Consider the following 24,565-nt stretch of genomic DNA (forward strand, 5'->3'; position numbering starts at 1 on the left):
GCCATGTGGAACTGCAAGTCAATTAAATCTCTTTTCCCTATAAATTACCAAGTCTTGGGTATTTCTTCATATCAGCATAAGAATGAACTAATACATACTGATCTGTTTTCTCACACTGTAATTTCAAGAATGGTATATTAATATGACACTTCATTCATCATAATGCCCTTGAAAGCCAACCAAGTTGTTGGGTATCAATAGTTCATTTCTCTTACTAAGTAGTATTCTAAGTATGAACATAAGATTTCATACTTCTGAAAAAAAGCTCAAAGTAAATATGTAATATGTATATTCATATGGATATGTAATATGGAGTTAAAATATGGTAAGCAAATGTTTAGTTTACCAAATGGCCAAAATGTTTCCAGAGTAGTTGCATGATTTTGCACTCCCATCAGCAATATACAGAGCTAGTTTTTCAGCATCCTTGACAGCACTTGGTGCTGCCACTATTATATTGCTTTAATAGGTGTATAGTTGCAGAATTAGTTTGCTTTTCTCTAACGGATAATAATGACAAGTATATTCTCAGGTACTCATCTACTATTCATATAGCCTCTTTGGTAAAACGTTTCTCATGTCTTTTGCCCATTTTCTAATCGAATATTTTTTGCTGTTGAGGTTTGAGACATACTCCAGATATGAGTCCTTCGTCAGATATGTAGCTTGTAAATATTTTCTCCATGTGTCTAGCTTGTCTTTTTCATCATCTTAACAGGGTCTTTGGTGGAGCCAATGTTTTTAATTTTGATGAAGTCCAATTTATTAACTTTTTTTCTTTTATAGATGATGCTCTTGGTGTTATGTCTAAAATCTCTTTATCTAAGTCAGGGTCACCAACAGTTTCTCCTCTGAGCTTTCAGGACAATATATAATAAAGACTCTGGATAACCTTATTTTCCTCTACAGAGTACTGAGTTGTGTTCTGGCAAGTAGCGTCTGTCCAGTCACCTCAATCCTGTGAAGGCTTCTTTTTGCTTTTGTTAGTACCAGTCTTTTCTTGTTTTTCCTTTAGCCCTAGGATATAGCCCTTAGTCCCGGTACAGGACGCTCAGTCCTAAGGTGTGGCATGGCCCTTCTCAAATTTCAATGGAAAGTTAAAGGTGTTTACCAAGCCCCTCTTTACTTGGTGAGACTTCACCTCCAAACTCTTATCTCCCTAGCACTGAGCAACTGCTGGAATTTCTGCTCAATGCTTTAACCTCCCAGCTGCTGCTTTCTGCTGGGTTCCACAGGGTGTCGTTCAGCACATGCACAGCTTCAAAGTTAGCCAATGACTGTAAAGGAACTTGTACACATATTTTGTGACTCTGCTCTTACTATGATTTTTCCCTACTCATTTGCACCACCCTTTCCCAGCAGGGCCAAATTCCAACCTCAGTTCCTTGCCCCAGGAAGAAGTCACTTTCTGCCTAAACTCTATGCCCTTGGTGTGAACTTAGCACATCTGCAGAAGGATAAGCCAGTTAAACGTACAGCTCAGCCAGGTCCACTTCCCTTCTTTCAGGTAGTGTGTTGCCTCCAGCTTCTACCTACTTTTGTTTTTATATTCCATCCAGATGCATTATTATTATTATTGGCAAGAGGGTAAGCCCAATACAGCTCCTCGACAATTATCAGAACCACGAGCCCAGGCCTGGTTTTTATGTTAATTTCCCAGTTTGGGAGAAGTATAAATTCACACCCCGATACATGAATAAAATTGAAAAAAAAAACTGCAGTTGAAAAATTATATGTAAGACTTTTTTTCCCTATTTCTAGAGCTGAAGATAAAAATCAACAAACTTCGGCTGGGCGCAGTGGCTCATGCCTGTAATCCCAGCAATTTGGGAGGCCAAGGCGGGTGGATCACGAGGTCAGGAGTTCAAGACCAGCCTGGCCAAGATGGTGAAACCCCATCTCTACTAAAAATACAAAAATAAGCCGAGTATGGTGGTAGACACCTGTAATCCCAGCTACTCGGGAGGCTGAGGTAGAGAATTGCTTGAACCTGGGAGGGAAAGGCTGCAGTGAGCCAAGATCACGCCACTGCACTCCAGCCTGGCCGACAGGGCGAGACTCCATCTCAAATAAATAAATAAGCAAACAAACTAACTTGTTATCTCTCTATCTCTCTATGTAGGTAAATGAGTTGCCTTTCTTTTTTTTTTTTTTTTTTTGAAAATGCCCCATTTTTCTAAAAGGATAGCCTTCCAAGGCTCTTAGCTCCATCTAACTGCTTCAAGGCAAACCTCAGGCCTCATCTTCTATTCTTAAATTGTATCAAACCTCAAAACTATTATACAACAGCAATAACCACCATCTCATCTTGTCCCAGACAGTCTTAAAGTATTACTATTTCAGGATTTTAGCTGCCGCCATTTCTGACTTTTGAAAATTTCCCTCACTTTCTTGTTCATTCACATGTGTATTCCAAAGTCTTTTTGTTACATTTTACCCTACATTTTTAGGTTTGTTTGTTTTGTGTTTGTTTTGTTTTTTGTTTTCGAGATGGAGTCTCACTCTGTCGCCCAGGCTAGAGCGCAGTTGTGCGATCTCAGCTCACTGCAACCTCTGCCTCCCGGGTTCAAGCGATTCTCCTGCCTTAGTCTCTCGAGTAACTGAGATTACAGGCATGCACCATCATGCCTAACTAATTTTGTATTTTTAGTAGAGATGGAGTTTCACCATATTGGTTAGGATGGTCTCAAACTCCTGACCTCAGGTGATCCACCTGCCTCAGCCTCCCAAAAGTGCTGGGATTACAGGCATGAGCCACCGCACCCGCCCTCTAGGTTTGTTTTTGTGGTTTTTTTTGTTTTTTTTTTTTGATGTGGGAGGATCACACATAATTTGCAAGATTATCTCAACAGCTAAATTGCCATAATTAGAAGACCACATATTATTTTTATAATTAGAATATTTACAAAATCATAATAAATGCTACATGGAAAAACTATAGGGAAAAATAAGTCCATATATATGTATATATAATTCATATATCTCAGAAAGTGCAACAAGTGCTATTTGTTCTTGAAAAAAGGTTATAAATTGAAAATGAAGACTATGGAAAATAAGGACAATGACAGGACTGATTATGTGTAGTTGTTCTAGTAATGAAAAGCAATACTACTCAAGCTAGGCGAGAGAGAAGAGGAAGTGGTGCAATCGTGCATCTTAATACGGAGCAAGAGCCCAAAGTGGAGCACATAATATCACAGCCTTTGAAATAGATTCATCATACACTACGTTTAGAGTTTCCAAAAGCACACAATTTTCAGGAAGAACTAAGTTAAATAATGCTTCAAATCACCATATATCCACTTTTAACATAAAATTCAATTCTATAACCAATTCAGTAGAAAGCTAAAGAACGTAGTGCCAATATTCTTAAGTCAATAATTCTTACAATATTTCACTCTTTTAAAGAACTAAATCATAAAACATGATTATCCCACCAAAAAACATGAGGACATAGAATGTAAAATAAATTTTTCAAATTAAATTAGAGGCCAGCATTATTCTAAGTGATGTAACTCAGGAATAGAAATCCAAATATCGTATGTTCCCAATTATAAGCGGGAGCTAAGCTATGAGTATGCAAAGGTATACAGAATGGTATAATGGACACTGGAGACTCACAAGTGAAGGAGGGGAGAGGGATTAAAAAGACTACATATTGAGTACAGTGTACACTACTCAGGTGACCAGTGCACTAAAATCTCAGACTTCACCATTATACAACTCATCCATGTAATCAAAAACCACTTGCATTCCAAAAGCTATTGAAATAAAAAATATATATTAAAAACATATTAATTAATTAGCAGTCAGGTGCAGTAGCTCATGCCTGTAATCCCAGCACTTTGGAAGGCTGAGGCAGGTGGATTGCTTGTCACCAGAAGTTAGAGACCAGCCTGGGAAATAATATGAGACACCATCTCTACTAAAAGTAAAAATTAAAAGATTAGTCAGGCATGGTGATGTGTACCTGTAGTCCCAGCTACTGGGGAGGCTGAAGTGGGAGATCAGTTGAGCCCAGGAGTATGAACTTTCAGTGAGCCATGATCGTGCTACTGCACTCCAACCTGGGCAACAGAGCGAGACCCTGCCTAAACAAAAATTAAATAAGATAAATTTCAAAAACAATAATGGTGAAAATAATGTTACACAGCATGATGAACTTAGTGAATTAATAATCTGTTGAGGCCAGGTGTGATAGCTCACGCTGGTAATCCCAACACTTTGGGAGGCTGAGGTTAATGGATCACTTGAGCCCAGGAGTTTAAGACCAGCCTGGCACCTGGTACACAGCAAGCATTCAATAAAGCTTGGCTAAAATGATTTTTTAAAAATTAAAAAGGCCAGCCTGGGCAACATAGGGAGACTACGTCTCTACAAAAAATAAAAAATAAAAAAATAGCTGGCCATGGTGGCATGCACCTCTAGTACTAGCTAGTTAGGAGGCTGAGGTGGGAAGATGGCTTAAGCCCAAGGTAGTGAGCTATGATTGTGCCACTGTAGTCCAGCCTGAACAACACAATGAGACTGCATCTCAAAAATAAAAATAGTAATAATCTGTTGAAAATAAAGAGAAAATGCAATGGCAATTAATGACAATTAATACAATGATTAACATTTCCTGAATGTTTTTTTTTAGAAAAATGTTAAAACAGCAGTTATAATCTATATAAGTTTTAATATTATGCTCTTATTGCATACATCACATGAGAGCTAAAGTGGCACTGCAAAGGAAAAGATGTACCTTTACAATGGAGCTCTCTGGCAGCACTACTTTAATCAAATGATCAAAGTAGGTGCAACTATTAAAACCTGACACTGCATGCTTCCTGATGAGTTCAAATATGAAGTACCCAGTATCACCTATGATATGTTCTTACCAAAAAAAAAAAAAAAAGGTTCAACCTAAATCTAATGAAGCGTCCAGACCTAACCTACAGTTTATAGGAAATGTGTGGACTAGAGGAATAAGTTAGCAATACCAAAAAAAGCAAGCAGACAAATCTGGAATGTGGAATATTCAACAGGACAAACAGCCTGGACTCTCCAAGAATCAATGTAATGTGGCAAGAAAAAATAGAGGAACAATTCTAGAAAAAAACATGAGGAAAGAGACTCCAACAGTGAATTATAGAGAGCACCAAGTTGTTTCTTATAATGATGCAAAGGTGATTTATTTTTAGGAATTCCATTAATATAATCCACCTATTAATAGAGATAGGAAGAAAAATTAAATACTCCTATCTTCTGATGCCATACCAAACTCAATAACCATTAATGTTAAAAACAAAGAGGAAACTGGTAAATACTTATTTAACATGATTTTATGCCAACACCAAGTATTCATGAGAATACAGAGCACTGAACATTCTTTCATTAGTCAAAGCATTTTAACTTATACAACCTTACTGGAAAACAGTTTAGATTACCCCCTAAAGTTGAACACACACATATCCTGTAACCTACCAATTCCATTCCTACACATATCCAACAGAGAGCTTGCGCAAGTGCATCAAAATGTGTGTGCAAGGCTTTTAATAGCCAAATACAGAAAACAATCCAAATGCCCATCACCAGTGATGTAGTATACTCATGTAATAAAAATGAACTACAGGTACAGGCAACAAGGATGAATTCCATAAACATAATATGAAATAAAAGAAGCCAGATACCAAAGTATACATATCATATGACTCAATTTAAACAAAATTCAAAAGCCGGCAAAATCATGACAGAATTGGAAGTTACGGTAACTTCCTTTGGCACAAAGGGAGAGAACAGTGATCAGGAGAGAGCACAAGAGGATCCCCGGGTATGCTGGCAATGTTCTACTTAATGTTCTGTTTCTTGACCCAGTGACAGTTTATTGGGTTTTCACACTTGGCAATAATTCATTAAGCAATACATTTATGTTTTGTATGTATTTCCAACACTTCAATAAAAAAGAATTATAATTTTCAAACCAGAAAGAAAGTACAAAGTAATCTCTAAATATCTAAAAAAAATTGAAAACATATGTAACTATATATCATATTGGTGACAAAAGTACAAAGTGAAGAATTATATAAATTGCTTTTAAAACTCAGCGTTTTGACTGTACATATCATCCAGTGGGTTATATCCCAAGGGAAAAAAAGTACTTAAAATGCACTTTGTAGTTTTGTTGTTAGTAACAATACGTGTACTATTTTTAAACTATTCTAAACTCTAAGCTAAAAAAAAAGATAATTATGTTAATGTTATTAATGGCCAAGAGTGTTTTTTTTTGAGACAGAGTCTTGCTCTGTTGCCTAGGCTGGAGCGCAGTGGTCCGATCCCAGCAGCCTCCGCCTCCTGGGTTCAAGCAATTCTCATGCCCCAGCCTCCCAAGGAGCCAGGATTACAGGCGTGCATCACTATGCTCGGCTAATTTTTGTATTTTTAGTAGAGATGGGGTTTTGCCATGTTGGCCAAGCTGGTCTCGAACGCCTGAACTCAAGTGATCCACCCACCTCAGCTCCCAAAGTGCTGGTATTACAGGCATGAGCCACCGCCCCAGCCAGGAATTTTAGCTTATGAGAAGAAAAATAAAAATTGTAAATCAAAAGGTAAAAACGAATTTTAAATCTGAATTGGAGCCAGGCGTGGTGGCTCACCGCTATAATCCCAGAACTTTGGGAGGCCAAGGTGGGTGGATCACCTGAGGTCAGGAGTTTGAGACCAGCCTGGCCAACATGGTGAAACCCCATCTCTACTAAAAATACAAAATTAGTCGGGCATGATGGTGCATGCCTGTAATCTCAGCTACTCAAGAGGCTAAGGCAGGAGAATCGCTTGAACCCGGGAGGCAGAGGTTGCGGTGAGCCGAGATCGCGCCGTCGCACTCCAGCCTGGGCAACAAGAGCAAAACTCTGTCTCAATAAAAAAATCTGAATTGGAAAAGCAGAATAAACTGTGAATTTTTCTCTTTTTAAGAAACAATAGTACCTAGATCTAACCTCTGAAAAGCTCTACCAGGAAAAAAAAAAAAAAAAAAAAACCTAGAGAACCCAGATTGAGTTCTCTAACTACATCTTCTAACAAAGTAAACAAGATTCCTTATAGAAGTGGTTTCAAAACTAGGGGTTGACTATTCCCGAAACAAGCCTATGAAAGCTCACTGCCGAGAAGCCAGCAAGCTGTCAGAGACAGGAGTAGGCTCATGTCAAAGGGAGAAAGGAGCAAACTTGAAAGAGCTCCCACTGGATGGAGATGAAACAATGTAAGCATCAAAAAGACTAATGACTGCAAAGGACTAGACGATATACATATACATATATACACCTGTAAGTTCTTAACAATATAAAATCAATCTCACTAGACACGGAGATTTCTCAGGTACCAACTCTTTATTCTGAAAACTGACCTATGAAGAGGAACAATCAAGCATTTATCCTGCCTTGCAAAACAAACTCTATTTTAAGGATAACCAAATAGTTGATCAGGGAAAGATCTTCTGTAAGAAAACTTCCAACTACAAATAGAAAGGAAATTACAGAATAAGAAAATTATCATTTTGCAACTCTAAAGGATTACTACATGTAGACAATAATCGATTGATGTTAAAACTGTTAAAAAAAAAAAAAAAAAAAAAGAGTGAGGAGTTCCTGACTCACAGATAAGGGTATGAAGAAAAAAAAAGAGTGATGGGAATATTTATAATAAGGCTGACAACATCTGAGTCTAGTGATCAACTTTAACCCCTCTAATAGAGGCATATAATGTTTAATTGTCTCACTTCCTATGAAGCAGTAGGAGAAATACAGCACCAACTGTGACAAATTCCTATTTCCCCAAGCCATCCCCCCAAAAAAAAGTACTGAATCAAGGGTCCACATCTAAGCAGCCATGCGCAAGAAAGGAAAGGCAGGTGATAAAGGACTATATTAAATAACACCAAAAGGGTGCAGTAAAGCTTCTGGTATTCCAATTTGGGCCAAGACAAGGGACAATTTGTCTGTAACAAATAAATGACACTAAAAAATAAGAGACCAGGAATTAAGAGACTTAAGGGTCACAATATCTAAACGCAATCCTGGCTCAAAGAAAAATTACAAAATGACATGTATGAAACCACCAAGAAAATCTGAACACTAACTGGGTATTAGATGATATTCAGAGACTACTGCTGAATGTATTGGGTGTGATAATGAAATCATGGTTATACATTTTTCTAATCCTTTTCTGCTAGCAAAAGATATTTACTAGTAAAATGATATCATTTTATTTAAAATACTCCAGCAAGAAAGAGAGAGGGAGAGAAAAAGGGAGAGGGGGAATGAAAGCAGGACACAAGATGAAACAAGATTAGCCAGTGTTGATTGCTGGAAGCAAATGATACTACCTCATTACTCTAGCCTCTCTACTTCTATATATGTTGAAATTTTCCATAATTTAAAAAAAAAAAATTTGAGACAGGGTCTTGCTCTGTTGCCCAAGCTGGAGTGCAATAGCATGATAATAGCCCACTACAGCCTCAACCTCCCAGGGTCATGTCTCAGCCTCCTGAGTAGCTGGGACCACAGACGTGCACCACCACACCAAACTCTATTTTTTCTAGAGACAGGGTCTCCTTATGTTGCCCAGGCTGGTCTCAAACTCCTAGGCTCAAGTTATCCTCCCACCTCAGCCTCCCAAAGTACTGGGATTACAGCCGTGAGTCACCACGCCCAGCTGATAATAAAGAAATTTAATGAATGGGTTAACCTAAAATGTCTGTTAATACTCCTTTTGGCCAGGAGTGGTGGCTCATGCCTGTAATCCCAGCACTTTGGGAGGCTGAGGCGGATGGATTATTTGAGGTCAAGAGTTCGTGATCAGCCTGGCCAACATGGTGAAACCCCATCTCTACTAAAAATACAAAATAAATTAGCTGGGCGTGGTAGTGCATGCCTGTAATCCCAGCTACTCGGGAGGCTGAGGCAGGAGAATCGTTTGAACCTGGGTGACAGAGGTTGCAGTGAGCCAAGATCACGCCACTGCAATCCAGCCTGGGCAACAGAGTGAGACTCAGTCACAAAAAAAATTCCTTTCAGTTTTAGAATTTGATGGGTCTATATTAAATTTCATAAAATATATCCACTGCACGCTTCAGACTAAATATATTGGCTTAATATCAGAAATGTTTTTTAAAATTATTACACATAGAAACCACAATGATTACAGAGTGGTAAATGTGTTATCTAGGAATATAAGCTTCAGATGGTTATATTTTTCAGTAAAAAAGATACAGATGTCAATAAATGCTTCTAAATGCATAAAGGAGATCATGACCAGTTATTTTCTGTAGCTGTTGATGACAGAATAAGATGAAAGAGATTTAAATTATATTACAAGGATAGTAAAATAGATTTTTGCTCCATTTTTTCTGTCTCTTTATAACAAATTATACCATCATATTCTTCTGACATTCTTTTAATCATTCATTAAACTCTCCAGCATTAACTGCCTAAAATACACATTACTTTGCTGGCTCGGCACTGTGGGGTACAAAGGTGAGTAACAAAATGAGGTTCTATGCCATTAAAATGCTTATAGGGGCCAGGTGCAGTGTCTCATGCCTGTAATCCCAATACTTTGGGGAAGCCAAGACAAATGGATCACTTGAGGCCAGGAGTTCAAGACCAGCCTGACCAACATGATGAAACCGTGTCTCTACTAAAAATACAAAACTTAGCAGAGCATGGTGGCATGAACCTGTGGTCCAAGCTACTCGTGAAGCTGAGGCTGAGAATCTCTTCAACCCGGGAGGCAGAGGTTACAACGAGCCAAGATCACACCACTGCACTACAGCCTGGGCAACAGAGCGAGACTCTATCGCAAAAAAATAAATAAGTAAGTAAAATAAAATAAGATGCTTATAGGGTCTGCAACCACAATTTTTCCTGTTCACTGAGAGTAAACCTAATAGAGAATTTAGGATTCATCTTACACTTGAAATTTTGTTACTGATTATTGAAAAATTATCTACAAGCACCCAATTGTGAGTTTTACAGAAAACTGGTCTCAAGAGTTATGAACCAAAGATTCACTCCACGGGGTTCCCAGATCCCCTAAAATCATGTGCTAGGTGTTGACTTTATTTTTCTGGAGAGACTATAATGGTTTTCATTCATCTTATTCATCTCAAATGGTAAAAATCACCAGTGGAATGGAGCCACACATCCTGTAGCAGAAACTTCTAAAAAAAAAAAAAAAAAAAAAAAAAACAGGAAAAAGATGAAACATGGTACCATGTACCTGCTCAGCCTCCACAGATCCTGCTTTTGGAAACTGAAACATAAATTCTTAAAACTTGCACAACTTTTTTTCTGGTGCTTGAATGACCTCTAGTGGCTACTTAAATTATCACAGCCAATTGCTCACAGCAGGAATTAGGTTGGTGCAAAAGTAATTACAGTTTTTGCCATTAAAAGTAATGAAATAAAGAACTAAAAAGTGTTGAGAAATAACAAAATTAAGATGGCATCACAAAGGAGCACCTAGCTCAATTTCAAGTTATTATACAAGCTCTCTATTATCCAACCAAATGTAGTTCACAATACAGTGTAATTCAAAATAGTTCACCAGATAGTTCAGTACACGCCATTTTTTTTAATCAAATAAGTATGATTTTCCCTAAATTCTTGCATTTCGAACTAATAAAGCATCAGCAAATACCCATGAAGAGAACAGTACTGGAATAAAAGATACAAGAACCTCGGGAATTAACATCCACCCTTTCCTCTCAGTTGAGGCAGCACCAGGAATACAATGTCAACAAAGTACAACAACTGGAGTAAGAGAAATACTTTGAGAATATAAACTGGCCACAGAACTCAACCTGAGTGAGAACAGGTAACAAATATGGTTCAGGAACTGCTGGGCCAAACTCTCCAAGTGGGAGTACAGCAGCAGCAACAGCAAGTACCAGTAGAATGAGGCCATCACATCACCCAGGGTGACCAACAGGTCCCAGGTTACTTCACATGCCCTCTGCCCAGCCCCTTGACAATTCCTGCAGCAGCAAAACACACCATCTTCCAGGCACTGCCACACGGAGTCCCAAGAATGCTGATACAGTTTTATTTATTTTGAAATATTTGTCAGTATCTATACATACACAAGGCACTGTCTAGGCACTGGAGTGGAGTGTTGAACAAGACAGTTCAAAATCCCGATTCCAATGGAGCTTGTAGTCTAGTGTGGAAAGAGAAATAAATACATAAAATGCCAGGTGGTGATACATGCTGTGAAAAAGATAAAGTAGAACAATGGGGTTTGGAAATTACAGGGTGGTCGTAGTATTCTTTTCTATAAGTTGATCATCTCAATTCAGACTAGCTTTTCTTCAAGCACTCAATAGCCATAGTGGCTGGTGGCTACTATACTGGATAGTTCAACAAATCTGAAACTATCATCCATGCCTTTTTAGTTCATAATCTTTATCCTCTTTCTTTCTGAATCCTAAGAGAATTCATCCAACTGATCTTCAAATTCACTAACTCAGCTTCCTAAAGTATCCATCCTACTTAATACTTATTACTGCAACTACTGAATCATTTAATTCAACAGTCATATTTCACATATTCAGAGGCTCCTTCTTCACAGCTCCTGAGCAACCAATGCCTGCTCTGACGATGCAGGAACATCCTCTAAAATCTTGGCACTTTGTCTTGGACTTTAAGTTCTCTCCCATCTCCTACAGCTACTCCATCTCACTGGAGACCTTTTGCTCTGAGCCATCAGAAGGAACCCCCATTTTTGAGATCCTAAGCCTTCTCATCTTCCTGGTAATACTGCCCTAGATGCTCAATCTTTCAGACAAAAATCTACCTGACACATCTCTGAGAACCAAGCTGGGTACCATCAGTAATCATATAGGTCACAATTCATTTTTTTAGGCCCCCCAAAAAAGGAAAAATTTAGACTTTGTGGCATTTTACTAGTAACTCAGAGATCCAGCAGTTTGCAGGAAATAGAGATGGAATTGTAAGCAAGGGAAATACACTGAAATTAAATTAATCTCCACCCAGACACTATAAGGCCAGCTGGGATACTATCCCAGCAATTGGCTGCTGCAGTGAACAGCACAGAGAGAAAATGTTCCAATTCCTCTTAAGGCTCCAAATACCAGTTGGCTACTACAGTGGACAAGACAGACATAGAAATTTTTCCAATTTTTCTTAAAGCCCCAAATACCACACAACCAGCTTCAACTCTACAAAATCCCCTCTCCTTACCCCTTTTTTACTTCCTTCAGGAGCTCTTGCTGTTTCCCCTAAAAGCCTTGGTTCTTTTCACCTATGCTGACTCTTGAGCCTCTCCCAGTTCAAGGGATAAAACTCCATTACCAATTAAGTGTAACATACGTTAACGGAATAGGTAGAAAGTAATCTTTCATACGAAAACACTACATTCAAGGTGAAAGGCCAAAATAATTTGAATTTTGAATTGTAAGCTATGCTTTAACTAGGAAATACATTAGTCTGTTGGACAGACTATAAGAAAACTAGAAATGAAAAAAGCCTTATTCAAAAACAAATGAAATAATGATGAGTAGAGTTCATAAGCCTTGTTAACTCTGCTGTGCCATTTTAATGATGGACTACATTGTATATGTGCTGCTATGTTTAAGCCTAAAGGTCTGTTGAGGTAACAGTTTTAGAACGATTGCCACAATCCCACAGAGAAAAAACAAGTGAAGGTCGGTGAAAGCTGCAGGTTCTAAATTACAGAATCAAGAACAGTATTTCTTGACATTCATCACATTTAAGTAATAAAAGACATTACCTCAACAACAGGTGTATTTTCCTGGAGCTCAGCTGTGTGCGAAGCCAGTAAACCAATTACGTGAGCAACCTTGGCCCGTCTGTAAATGGAGAGAAAACAGGCTCTGAAAAGAAGAGTCGGGGACCGAGGAAACTAATCCCAGCTAGTTACATTATGCAATGATGAGCATTAGATATAAGACTGAGAAATAAAAATTGAATGTGACAGGTCAGGCCCACACTCCCACATGTACACAGCCCAGAGAAACTCTCCCTCGTATACTTAGGGAGACACGAACCGTAATGTCCGCTGCAATACTGCAACAGCGACAAAATTTAAACAAGTTGTGGTTTAATAGTAAAACGAAAAATAAAAATTTTAAAAATCTTTAACCAGAGAAAAGAGCAAAACAGTAATTAATCCTTTTATTGCTGAGTACAGAGGCATTTGGCTAAAGGTCTCTTTTCTACTTGTTAGTAGATCAATGAGTTTCTATGTAAGTAGTAAATAATATCTGAACAGTAACATATCTGTATGTATTCAGTGTAAAAGAAATTTTTACAATCAAGTTTTTAAATATTGTTATTTGCATAAACACTAGTTTTAATGAGGTGTTCCTTTAGTATCCAGCAGAAAACTGAAGTGGATAAATTACTATTAAATGACATTCAATGTGATTTGAAAAGGTATTTCATGCAGAGAAATTAGTTTTGATGAGTTTTTTTCTAATTAAAACAAATGGTGAGTTGATGAAAACTGCACTCTTATTTAGTGATGTCTGCATGTTGTCTAGGATAATCAGTATGTACCTTAGTCAGCTTTTATTTTTTACCATCTTAAAATAAACCTATGTGGTACCCATGGAGGAAAACAAATCAGACTCAGAGAAGTACTACAGGGAAAATGTCTGCGTTATCACAACTCTAACATACAGAAATAATCCTTATAAATTTCAACACTTCTTAAATTTCCCATTAAAATCTCTTAACCTACACAAATTAAAGAAGTCCTAGGCAATTGTAGAATTAGCATCCCACCTGTGAATAAAAAGATTATACTTTAAAAGTAGTCATTTTGAAAAATATCTGTAGGACAATTGGAAAAGCCATCCTCCCACCTCAACCCCCCCAGCTAGCTGGGACTGTAGGCATGCACCACCACAGCCAGCTAATTTTTTTTACTTTTTGTAGAGATGGGGTCCGCTATGATGCCCAGGCTGACCTTGAACTCCTGAAAAACAATCCTCCCATCTCAGCCTCCCAAAGTTCTGGGATTACAGGCTTGAGACACTGCATCTGTCTATCTCTTTTCAAAGACAAGCTCAAAAAACTTATGAAACACTTAACCATTTTTCAATTTATAAAAGTAAATATTGGCTACCAGATTTATTCAACTAAAATAAAAATGTATCAACATGCCAATTATTTTCCCTAATATGACCAAAAACAATTCCTATTAGAATAAAACACACTACCTAAAAACCTTATACTTTTAAAATAGAAAATTTAAATCACTTATGAATATTCACTTTTTACCAAAATCCTAAATACAAGTACCACATACCCTATATACAACACCCTCACAGTATAGGTTCCTTCTCAAAATTCAGGTTTTCTCAGGTCACCATTTCAGGTGCCCCCAGTGACTCGACACTGTACCTCAGAACCAACCCATCTTTCACGACAGCATCTAAGGCAGCACTATCTAACAAACCTTTGTGCCCTGACAGAAATGTCCCACATCTGCACTGCTCAATATAGTATCCACTAGACATGTGACTATCAAGCACATAAAATATGACAGATGCAAGTAAGGAACAAAATATTTTTAAAAAGTTTTTTTTTTTTTGAGACAGATTCTCACTCTGTCACCCAAGCCAGAGTGCAGTGGTGCAATCTCCGCTCACTGCAATGCCTCCCAGGCTCAAGCAATCCTCCCAGCTGAGCCTCCCAAGTAGCTGGGACTATAGGTGTGCACCACCATCCCTGCTAATTTTTGTATTTTTAGTAGAAATGGGGTTTCGCCATGTTGTCCAGGCTGGTGTTGAACTCCTGAGCTCAAGTGATCTGCCCACCTCAAACTCCCAAAGTGCTAGGATTACAGGTGTGAGCTACTGCATCTGGCCTTAATTTTTACTTTAAAAATTACCCCCACAGCTGAGGGTGAGGGAGACAGTACCCTGGGGTAATTACTCATCTTTCACGTGCCTGGTCCTGGTTACCTCATAAGTAGGACCAACAACAATACGTACCTCATGTTGTTCTAAGAATCAAAGGAGATAATCCATGTGCAGAAAGTACCATTGTGTCTGACAATATGTGCTGAATGTGGAAGCTACTATTAATTTTTAATTTAAATAACCCCCATGAAGTTAATGGCTACCACATTAGAGCAAAACTAAAATGTTGTAGTTACTTATTCATTCATTTACTTGTTTATTATCTGTCTCCCCAACCAGCCCAGATGATCCATGAAGGCAGGGCTGTATCCCGATCGCCACTGTAACACCTGAACAGTTTGTTGAATAAATATATCAACATCAAAAGCAAAATAACTGAACACACTAGTAGAAAAAAAGTGCATAAAAGTAAGGCTGTACAAGGCAAACAAAAGGCAAACAGGATTTCCAATGTAAATCTCAGTAGAATTAGGCTAAACTCATGAGAAAAAGATTCCCTTTAAACTAAAAACCATATGACGTACAGAAGATATAAAATGTGAATTTTTTTTTTTTTTTGAGATGGAGTCTTGCTCTGTCACCCAGGCTGGAGTGTAGTGAGTGGCACAATCTCAGCTCACTGCACCCTCCGCCTCCTGGGTTCAAGCCATTCTCCTGCCTCAGCCTCCCCAGTAGCTGGGATTACAGGCACGCACCACCATGCCCAGCTCATTTTTGTATTTTTAGTAGAGACAGGGTTTCACCATGTTGGCCAGGCTGGTCTCGAACTCCTGAACTCGTGATCCACCCACCTCGGCCTCCCAAAGTGCTGAGATACAAGTGTGAGCCACCGCGCCCAGCCTGGTGTGAATCTTTATACACCAAATAACAAAGCATGAAAAGTAAACCCATAGTAGTGGTAAACTTCAATTTTCTTCTCTTCCAAGCACAGAGAGAAGGCAACAATGAATACATTCATCAATACATTCACACATTCAAGCATCCTAAATAAAACTACAAAGTCAAAGTAACAGATGAATCTATCGAACTCTACACCCTACAAACAGTGACCACTCTTACTCAGTGGGAGTCTGTATAGGATGGTGTCTAAGACTCTGAATTCAAAGTCTTGGACCTGGCCCTGGCCCCACCACTGGGGGCGAGGGAGACAGTACCCTGGGATAATCACTCATCTTTCTTATGCCTGGTAGGCACAACAAGTAGGACCAATAATAATATGTACCTCATGTTGTTCTAAGAATCAGGAGATAATCCACATGCAGAAATTACCATTGTGTCATGACAATTTGTGCTGAATGAGCAAGCCACTATTACTATATTAACAGTTAACTGCATTCATGGCATACATTAAAAATGACTTTATATTGGACCACAAAGATATTGGAATTATTAGAATTCCCTAAGGCAGAAATTATACAGGACTCATTTTGATGTAGTGAAAGGAGAAAAGTAAAAATAACAAATATAAACCAAAAAGCCTAAACACTTGTGAAATTAGAAGCACTTCTGCTGGGCATGGTGGCTCATGCCTGTAATCCCAGCATTTGGGAGGCCGAGGCAGGTGAATCACTTGAGGTCAGAAGTTCAAGGCCAGCCTGGCCAACATGGTGAAACCCCATCTCTACTAAAATATACAAAAATTAGCTGGGCGTGGTGGTGGGCGCCTGCAATCCCAGCTACTCGGGAGGCTGAGGTAGGAGAATCGCTTGAACCCAGGAGGTGGAGGTTGCAGTGAGCCAAGATCATGCCACTACTGCACTCCCGCCTGGGTGACAGAGTAAGACTCCGTCTCAAAAAAAAAAAAGCACTTCTATATACCTTATACATCATATTAAAAAATGAAAACTTTGGCCAGGTAAAGTGACTCACATCTGTAATCCCCAGCACTTTAGGAGGATGAGATGGAAGGATCACTAAGGCCAGGAGTTCAAGACCAGCCTGGCTAATAAAGTGAGACCCTGTCTCCACAAAAAGAAAAAAAAAAATGTTTTTAATTTAGCCAGGCATGGTAACATGCACCTGTAGTCCCATTCCAGCCTCGGGGACACAGTGAGACCCTATTTTTTTTAGAGTGAGTCTCTAAAAATAATAATAAAATAAATAAATAAGGAAAAGAAACAAAAGAAAGAATAAAAGGGAAAGGTAAAGAAAGCATCCATAAATCATAATCATGTAACACAGATCTAAACTTATGAGACATTCTCTGTCTTTAATGATTGCAGACTAAACACTTGACACTCACTTTTCTGATCCCTCTAGAGTCTCTAAAATACAAGTTCTTTTTATTAAATGATAACTGATAACTAGAAACAAAAAGGAAGGCTAAAAGTGGACTAGAAAGTTTGAGAAAATCTCAGATGACATGCATAGATAGAATTAAGACTGACAGAGAACCAACAAGGGAATCCTCTATCTAAGAATCACAGGTAGACAGACGTTCCCAAGGAAGCCTCAAGGACTTGGAACAAACTAAGACAGAAAGCAAGAATGAGCCACAGGACAATCATCAGATTACAACTGCACAAGGAACAATTGTGTCCTTGTACAAGGAACAGTTTAGTCAGTCAGGTCCTGCCTCTTTTCCATCACCCTTCCTTGGTACACAGAATAAACCCTGCAGCCCTGGCCTCCGGGGTAAACGTGGAAAATTGTTCCTACAGTGAGCAATCCACCTTGGGGTGGGACATAGGTGTGGATGTGGGAAGCAGAGACTGTGGTCCTCCAGATACTGAAACAGGGAAGGGGTAAATGAGGAAAGCCAACTCCACTCCAAAGAAAAACCCACCCTGGCAATTGCAGAGGCCTCCAGCCTGCCTACCTGATCTTCAGCCAGCTGGAATTCCAAATTAAAGTCAACCAGTCAGCAGGCCCCACCTACCCACATACCAACCCTTTATTTAAAGGAGAGGCTATTGGAGAAAGAGACTTAGGCAAGCATAAAGGAAACTCACATTGCCAACTTCTATACCAATCAATTTAATCATTTATTCATAATATAAACTAAGAACCAGAGATCACCAGGCATTTGAGAAATAAACAGCATTAAAAAGCAGGACCATGATGAAAAAGTGACCTACAAGTTCAAGAGGTAAGAATACAATGTTTATAATCCTAATTTTGTTCCCTTTTTTTCAAAGTCCAGGTTCCAGGCTTATATTATATAATCCTAATGTTTAACCTTTAATATTAATAACAATATTTAATTCTAAATTCTGCCCCAAGAAGAGAATTTTTATAATCCTAATATTTATCTCAAATTCAGAAGTATATGATACACCAAATATATGCAGCTAGGAAAAGGGACCAATCAGACAAAAAGAAAATGAACAAAACCTTTCAAATATGATTGTTGAAATTAAAAAATTAACTGGAAATCCTAAATAATAAAATGAGTGGGGATAAATACCAAGCTTGAGAGCTCAAAGATAAAGTCAAGGAAGAGCAATAAAAGAAGAGAATTTGCATGGACACAAAGAGGGAACAACAGACACCGGGGCCTATTTCAGGGTGGAGGGTGGGAGGAGGGAGAGGATCAGAAACAATAACAATTGGTACTTACTAAGCTTAGTACCTGGGTGACCAAATAATCTGTACAAGAAACCCCCATGAGTTTACCTATATAACAAATCTGTATTATGTACCCCTGAACCTAAAACAAAAGTATAAGAAAGAGAGTTTGGCAGTTCTTCAAAAGGTTGAACACAGAGTTATCATTTTATCCAGCAATCTCACTACTGTAAGAGAAATAAAAACGTATGTTCACACAAAACCTTGTAGACAAATGTTCAGCGCACCATTATTCATAATAGCCAAATGTGGAAACAACCCCAAATGTCCATCAAGACCACATAAGCAAAATGTGGTATAGCCACACAAGGATTATTCAGCTATAAAAAGAATGAAGTATTCACACATTCCACAATACAGATGAACCTTGAAAACATTATGCTAAATGACAGAAGCTAGACACAAAAGGCCACATACTGTATGATTCCATTTATATGAAATATCAAAAATAGGCAAATCAGCCAACAGGAAGTAGATGAGTGGTTGCCAGGGGTTGGAGAAGAATGGGTACTGGGTTTCGCTGGGTGAGAAAAATGTTCTGAAATTAGATAATGGCAATGGTTGAACAACTTTCAATATACTAACACCTACTGAACTGTACACATTAAAATGGTGAATTTTATGGTATGTGAATTATACCTCAATAAACAAGAGAAAGTGAGAAAGCAAAAGAAAATTTAAAAGAAAAGTCAAGAGAGACAAACTCCCACACCCATCCTGTAGGGGTTTCAGGAACAGAAAAAGGATGAAATAGGAAGAAATCTAAGAAATAATATAAAAGCTAAAGGAGGGATGAAGAGGCTAGGCATCGTGGCTCACACCTGTAATCCCGGCACTTTGGGAGGCCAAGGCAGGTGGATCACTTGAGGTCAGGAGTTTGAGACCAGCCTGGCCAACATGGTGAAAACCCATCTCTACTAAAAATACAAAAATTAGCTGGGCATGGTGGTGCACACCTGTAATCCCAGCTACTCGGGAGGCTGAGGCAGGAGAATCCTTGAACCCGGGAGGTGGAGGTTGCAGTGAGCCAAGATCGCGCCACTGCACTCCAGCCTGGGCGACAGAGCAAGACTCTGTCTCAAAATAAACAGAAAGAAAAGAAGGGAAGGAAGGGACAGGAGGGACGGGAGGGAAGGAAGGGACAGGAGGGACGGGAGGGACGGGAGGGACGGGAGGGACAGGAGGGACAGGAGGGACGGGATGGGGGAAGGAAGGGATGGGAGGGGGGAAGGAAGGGACGGAAGGGGGGAAGGAAGGGATGCGGGGAAGAAAGGGACAGAAGGGGGAAGGAAGGGACGGGAGGGGGAAAGAAGGGACGGGAGGGGGAAAGAAGGGACGGGAGCGGGGAAAGAAGGGACGGGAGGGGGAAAGAAGGGACGGGAGGGGGAAAGAAGGGACGGGAGGGGGAAAGAAGGGACGGGAGGGGGAAAGAAGGGACGGGAGGGGGAAAGAAGGGACGGGAGGGGGGAAGGAAGGGACGGGAGGGGGAAAGAAGGGACGGGAGGGGGGAAGGAAGGGACGGGAGCGGGGAAGGAAGGGACGGGAGCGGGGAAGGAAGGGACGGGAGGGGGAAGGAAGGGACAGGAGGGGGAAAGAAGGGATGGGAGCGGGGAAAGAAGGGACGGGAGGGGGAAGGAAGGGACGGGAGCGGGGAAGGAAGGGACGGGAGCGGGGAAGGAAGGGACGGGAGCGGGGAAGGAAGGGACGGGAGCGGGGAAGGAAGGGACGGGACAAGACGGGACTGGAGGGAGGGAGGGAGGGAGGGAGGCAGGCAGGCAGGCAGGAAGGAGCAAATTAGTAAAAAGAGATTCCTAGAGACAATCTAGTAAAATTTACAGGCCTGAAATGAAAAGAAAAGCTAACTCAAACAAGTCACACAGAAGAGGGAAAAAAAAAAAAAAGGTAAGGTTTACCCACAAGTCCTACAGAACTACAGTTAGTACAAGGAAGAGAGCTCAAACTCCAAAGCATGGCACAGAGGTAAGCCACTGAGAGGCCTTCTTGAAAACAAACAAAAAATACTAACAGCCAGGCGCGGTGGCTCATGCCTATAATCCCAGCACTTTGGGAGGCCAGAGCAGGTGGATCACCTGAGATCAGGAGTTGGAGACCATCTGGCCAACACGGTAAAACCTCATCTCTACAAAAATACAAAAATTAGCCGGGCATGATGGCAGGTGCCTATAATCCCAGCTACTCGGGAGGCTGAAGCAGAAGAATCACTTGAACCCGGGAGGCAGAGGTTGCAGTGAGCTGAGATTGTGCCACTGCACTCCAGCCTGAGTGACTGAGCGAGACTCCGTCTCAAACAAACAAAAAAAAACCTACCAAATGATAAAATCTAATCAACCAAGAGAAGAACTACAGCAAAGAAACAGGAAAACTATGTTTTTAATTAAAAAATTTATGATGGATGAGCATTTACTTTACCTTATTCAAGTATAAAACTCTTATTTGAAAAATAGAAAAATTCCTCCTAAATTCATATCTCAAAAAGGCACTTGCCACAGTAAAAAGCAACCTATGTAATGAGAGAAGATATTTGCAATCATTTATCTGACAAGGGGTTAATATCTAGAATATATAAAAAATACCTACAACTCAACAACATAAAACTCAGTTCAAAAATTGGCAAATGACTTGACTAGATCTTTCTCCAAAGAAGATATACAAATAGCCAACAATCACACGAAAAGATGTTCAACATCACTAGTCACAAAATACAAATCAAAACTGTAAGATACTACTTCACACCCATCAGGATAGCTGTTAGCAAAAAACAAAAACAGAAAACACTAATGTTCACAGCAGCATTGTTCACAATAGCCAAAAGATATAAACAAGCCAGTGCCCAACAACAGATGAAAAGATAAACAAAATGTAGTATATGCATACAACGGAATATTATTCAGCCTTAAAAAGGAATGAAATGCTGACACATGTTAGTTATAACATGGATGAACCTTGCAAATGAAACCAGCCCAATTGTCCTATAGAACTGATGTTTACAGTCTTTTAAAATAAACGTAGAAATTGACCCTCCCAGTCTTAAAACTTGAGGAAGTTACATTTGTCTTATCTGAGTTCCTTTCTTGGGAAACCAACCATCAGGCCTCCCAGATAGTTATCAAGGAACTGAAACTTACCAAATCACCATATCTGGACCATAAGACACCAGACCCCCTCACCCATTACAATTGCCTAACCAACTACCTGCTTCCTGTTGACCAATTCCTCTTCCTCACCCTTCCTTGATTCCTGTTTTCCCATACATGGTTATATTTCTTCCCTGCTAAATACATCCCTGGTTTTAGTCAGTTGAGGAGACAAATTTGAGACTGATCTCCCATCTCCTTAGCTGCAGCACCCAATTGAAGCCTTCTTCCCTAGCAACACTCATTGTCTCCGTGATTGGCTTTCTGTGCTGTGAGCAACAGGACTTAAACCAAACCCCTTGATATTTCAGTAGCAATATGAGGTACTCACCATAAGCAAATTCACAAAGATAGAATAAGTAGAGTATAGGTTACCAGGACTGGGGAAGGAAAGGGGAAGTTACTGTTTAATGGGTAAAGAGCTTCTGTTTAAGATGATGAAAAAGTTTTGGAAATGAATAGTGGTGATGGTTATACAACAATGAGAATGAACTAAATGCCATTATATACATAAAAATGGCTAAAATGGAATATTTTAAATTATGCATAATTTACAATTAACAAATTTTTTAAATTACAGTATTACACTATTACTATATGTGAATTATACCTCAAAGTTGACTGGCAAGGATAAAAGGATATACAATTTGATAAATACTCAATGTTGGAAGTTCTAACAAAAGGCATTTTAAACACATTGACTGGGATTATATATTGATACAATTTTTTTAAGAGTATTTCAGCAATTTTTCAGAAGTCACAAAAATATTTACTGCCTTCTATCCATCTGTTCTAATTCTACAAATCTTCCCTAAAGAGAAAAAGAAAAAGCAGGCACAAAGATTTATTCTCAAAAATGTTCATCAAAATATTATTTACAACATTATAATACTATCCAAAAATAGTAAATAAAATGATCAGATATTCACAACATATAAAAAGTTTATCTTAAGTATTATGTATTTTATTTTTAAATGTTAATAATAACATTTACAATACGTAATATATATGTTACAGGGGAAAACAAACATAAAATTATATCATGTGATTCTAATTTTTTATATACAAAACAAAACTAAAGAATAAATATATCTACGTCAATAATAATTATCTCCCAGACTAAGTTAAGGACCCTTTATCATATGCTGTCAAGGTAATATAACCTGAGGTCAGAGAAAACGTCGCTGGAAGTGGCTTTGAATGGAGAAAGAATAAAAGAGGATTCCTACCAGAGAACTTGTCTACCTCAGTATCACTTTATTCAAATTAAAACTGTTTTACAATCAAACTTCAATTTTTAAAAGTGGGGGAAAAAAACAGTATGTGTGAATTTTGGTATCCAAGGGGATACTAAAACCAATCTCCGGGCTGATACAGAAGGATGACTGTACTTGGAAATGATCTGGAATGTCTGTTTTAAAATGTCAGCAGGGGGCACCCCATTCAAGGATATAACACATTTTAAATAAAGGTGTTTAAATAAGTATTTCATTGATTCATTTTTAATGAGCATACCATGAGCCTTCTCAAAGTATTAAATACTCAACCATTACCTAAAAATCCTACTTTTTATTACCAGATTTTACTTTGGGAGAGTAACATTAGAAGATGTATAGTAAGAACTACCCTTATTATTAAGCATTTTCTAAACTTCTATTGGTTCACCCATATTTCACCAACATAGAAGAATAATTATTATCATACCAGTGCCACAATCCACAAAATCCTTTCGCCTCCATTTTTTCATGTGCCTGTCCTAACAATCATGAGATAAGCAAGCTTGATGATAATAACTACAACTTCTACAACCCCAACCCCATTGTAAATGAAATACCCACTAAGAATCAGGCACTATACAAGGTATCTCATATATTTACCTCATTCAAAGTTGAATAATTACCAAAAATCTATGAAGCAGTTATCCCATCCCAATTTTACAGATGAGGAAACTGAGGCTCAGCAATTAAAGTACTTGGCCCAGAAAGCTGATCTTTGATCCACACCCAGGTCTGTCTGAATCCTAAACCTATGCCATTTCCTTGTCCCACCCACAGTCCCCAGGAAGCAGAGATTGAGAAAAAGATAATCATTTGGCCAAGTCTTATTGGCAAACAGAACCCAGAGCCTTCTAACACTTGATCTACTGTGCTCTCCACCTGGTATGTTGCTTCTGTAAAAAGCAAGGACACTTCCTTCCATCGGGAGTTTATAAATCATAATCCCATTAGATTGTAAATAACATCTAGGGAAGCTATGTGCTACATGAGGGAAAGATAAGGGTGGCCAAGGGAAACTTCGAGGAAGTATAACTAAATTAATACACAGGGATCAGGGTTTAAGTATTTTATAATCAATACTCAAAACAGTAACAGTTAGCCAGGCACAGTGGCTCACACCTGTAATCCTAACACTTTGGGAGTCAGAGATGGGAGAATCACTTGAGCCCAGGAGTTCAAAACCAGCCTGTGCAACATAGTGAGAGACCTTGTCTCTAAGAAAATAAAAAAACAATAACAGTTAATAAAGTTTCCAGGAGTACCTTAGATAATCCCAGAATTGTATTTGTAATATTAGGAGAAGGGCTATTTTTAATATTCTAAAATTTATCATTGGAATGCCCATAAAAATTGCCTATGAGTAGAGTCATCATTACATCAGAATAATTTATGATAATTATTTAGGACTCTGCTTTTGATAAATATGTGCTCTGTAACTACTTAATAAAGTCATGAAAAATAATTTTTAAAATATAAACGTTACTTACATATCCCAGTTTGGAGCTATCCGCAAATGCTGGATTAGCAATTGGAACTAGAATAAGAAATTTAAGTGTAAAGAAAAGAAAAAATTAAAATGTTTAAGTCACAAAACACAGAAAATGACAGCAAAGTTAACA

The 24,565-nt window shown here is 38.8% G+C and overlaps 1 protein-coding gene across 4 annotated transcripts in view; it reads right to left on the reverse strand.

Moving 5' to 3' along the window:
* ULK4 (unc-51 like kinase 4) overlaps positions 1 to 24,565 on the reverse strand; it is a 715,505-nt gene that overhangs the window by 624,486 nt on the left and 66,454 nt on the right. For all 4 annotated transcript variants that reach the window (NR_136342.2, NM_001322501.2, NM_017886.4 and 1 more), the window contains 2 exons: positions 24,434 to 24,480; positions 12,790 to 12,868 (listed from right to left, as the gene is read on the reverse strand). Coding sequence is in view for 3 of the 4 variants with exons in the window: in NM_001322501.2 (NP_001309430.1) it covers positions 12,790 to 12,868; positions 24,434 to 24,480 (126 nt within the window). In the remaining variant the exon portion in view is untranslated. The remainder of the gene's footprint in view (positions 1 to 12,789; positions 12,869 to 24,433; positions 24,481 to 24,565) is intronic.

This window comes from Homo sapiens, chromosome 3 (assembly GCF_000001405.40).
Source record: "Homo sapiens chromosome 3, GRCh38.p14 Primary Assembly".
Classification (NCBI taxonomy): domain Eukaryota; kingdom Metazoa; phylum Chordata; class Mammalia; order Primates; family Hominidae; genus Homo; species Homo sapiens.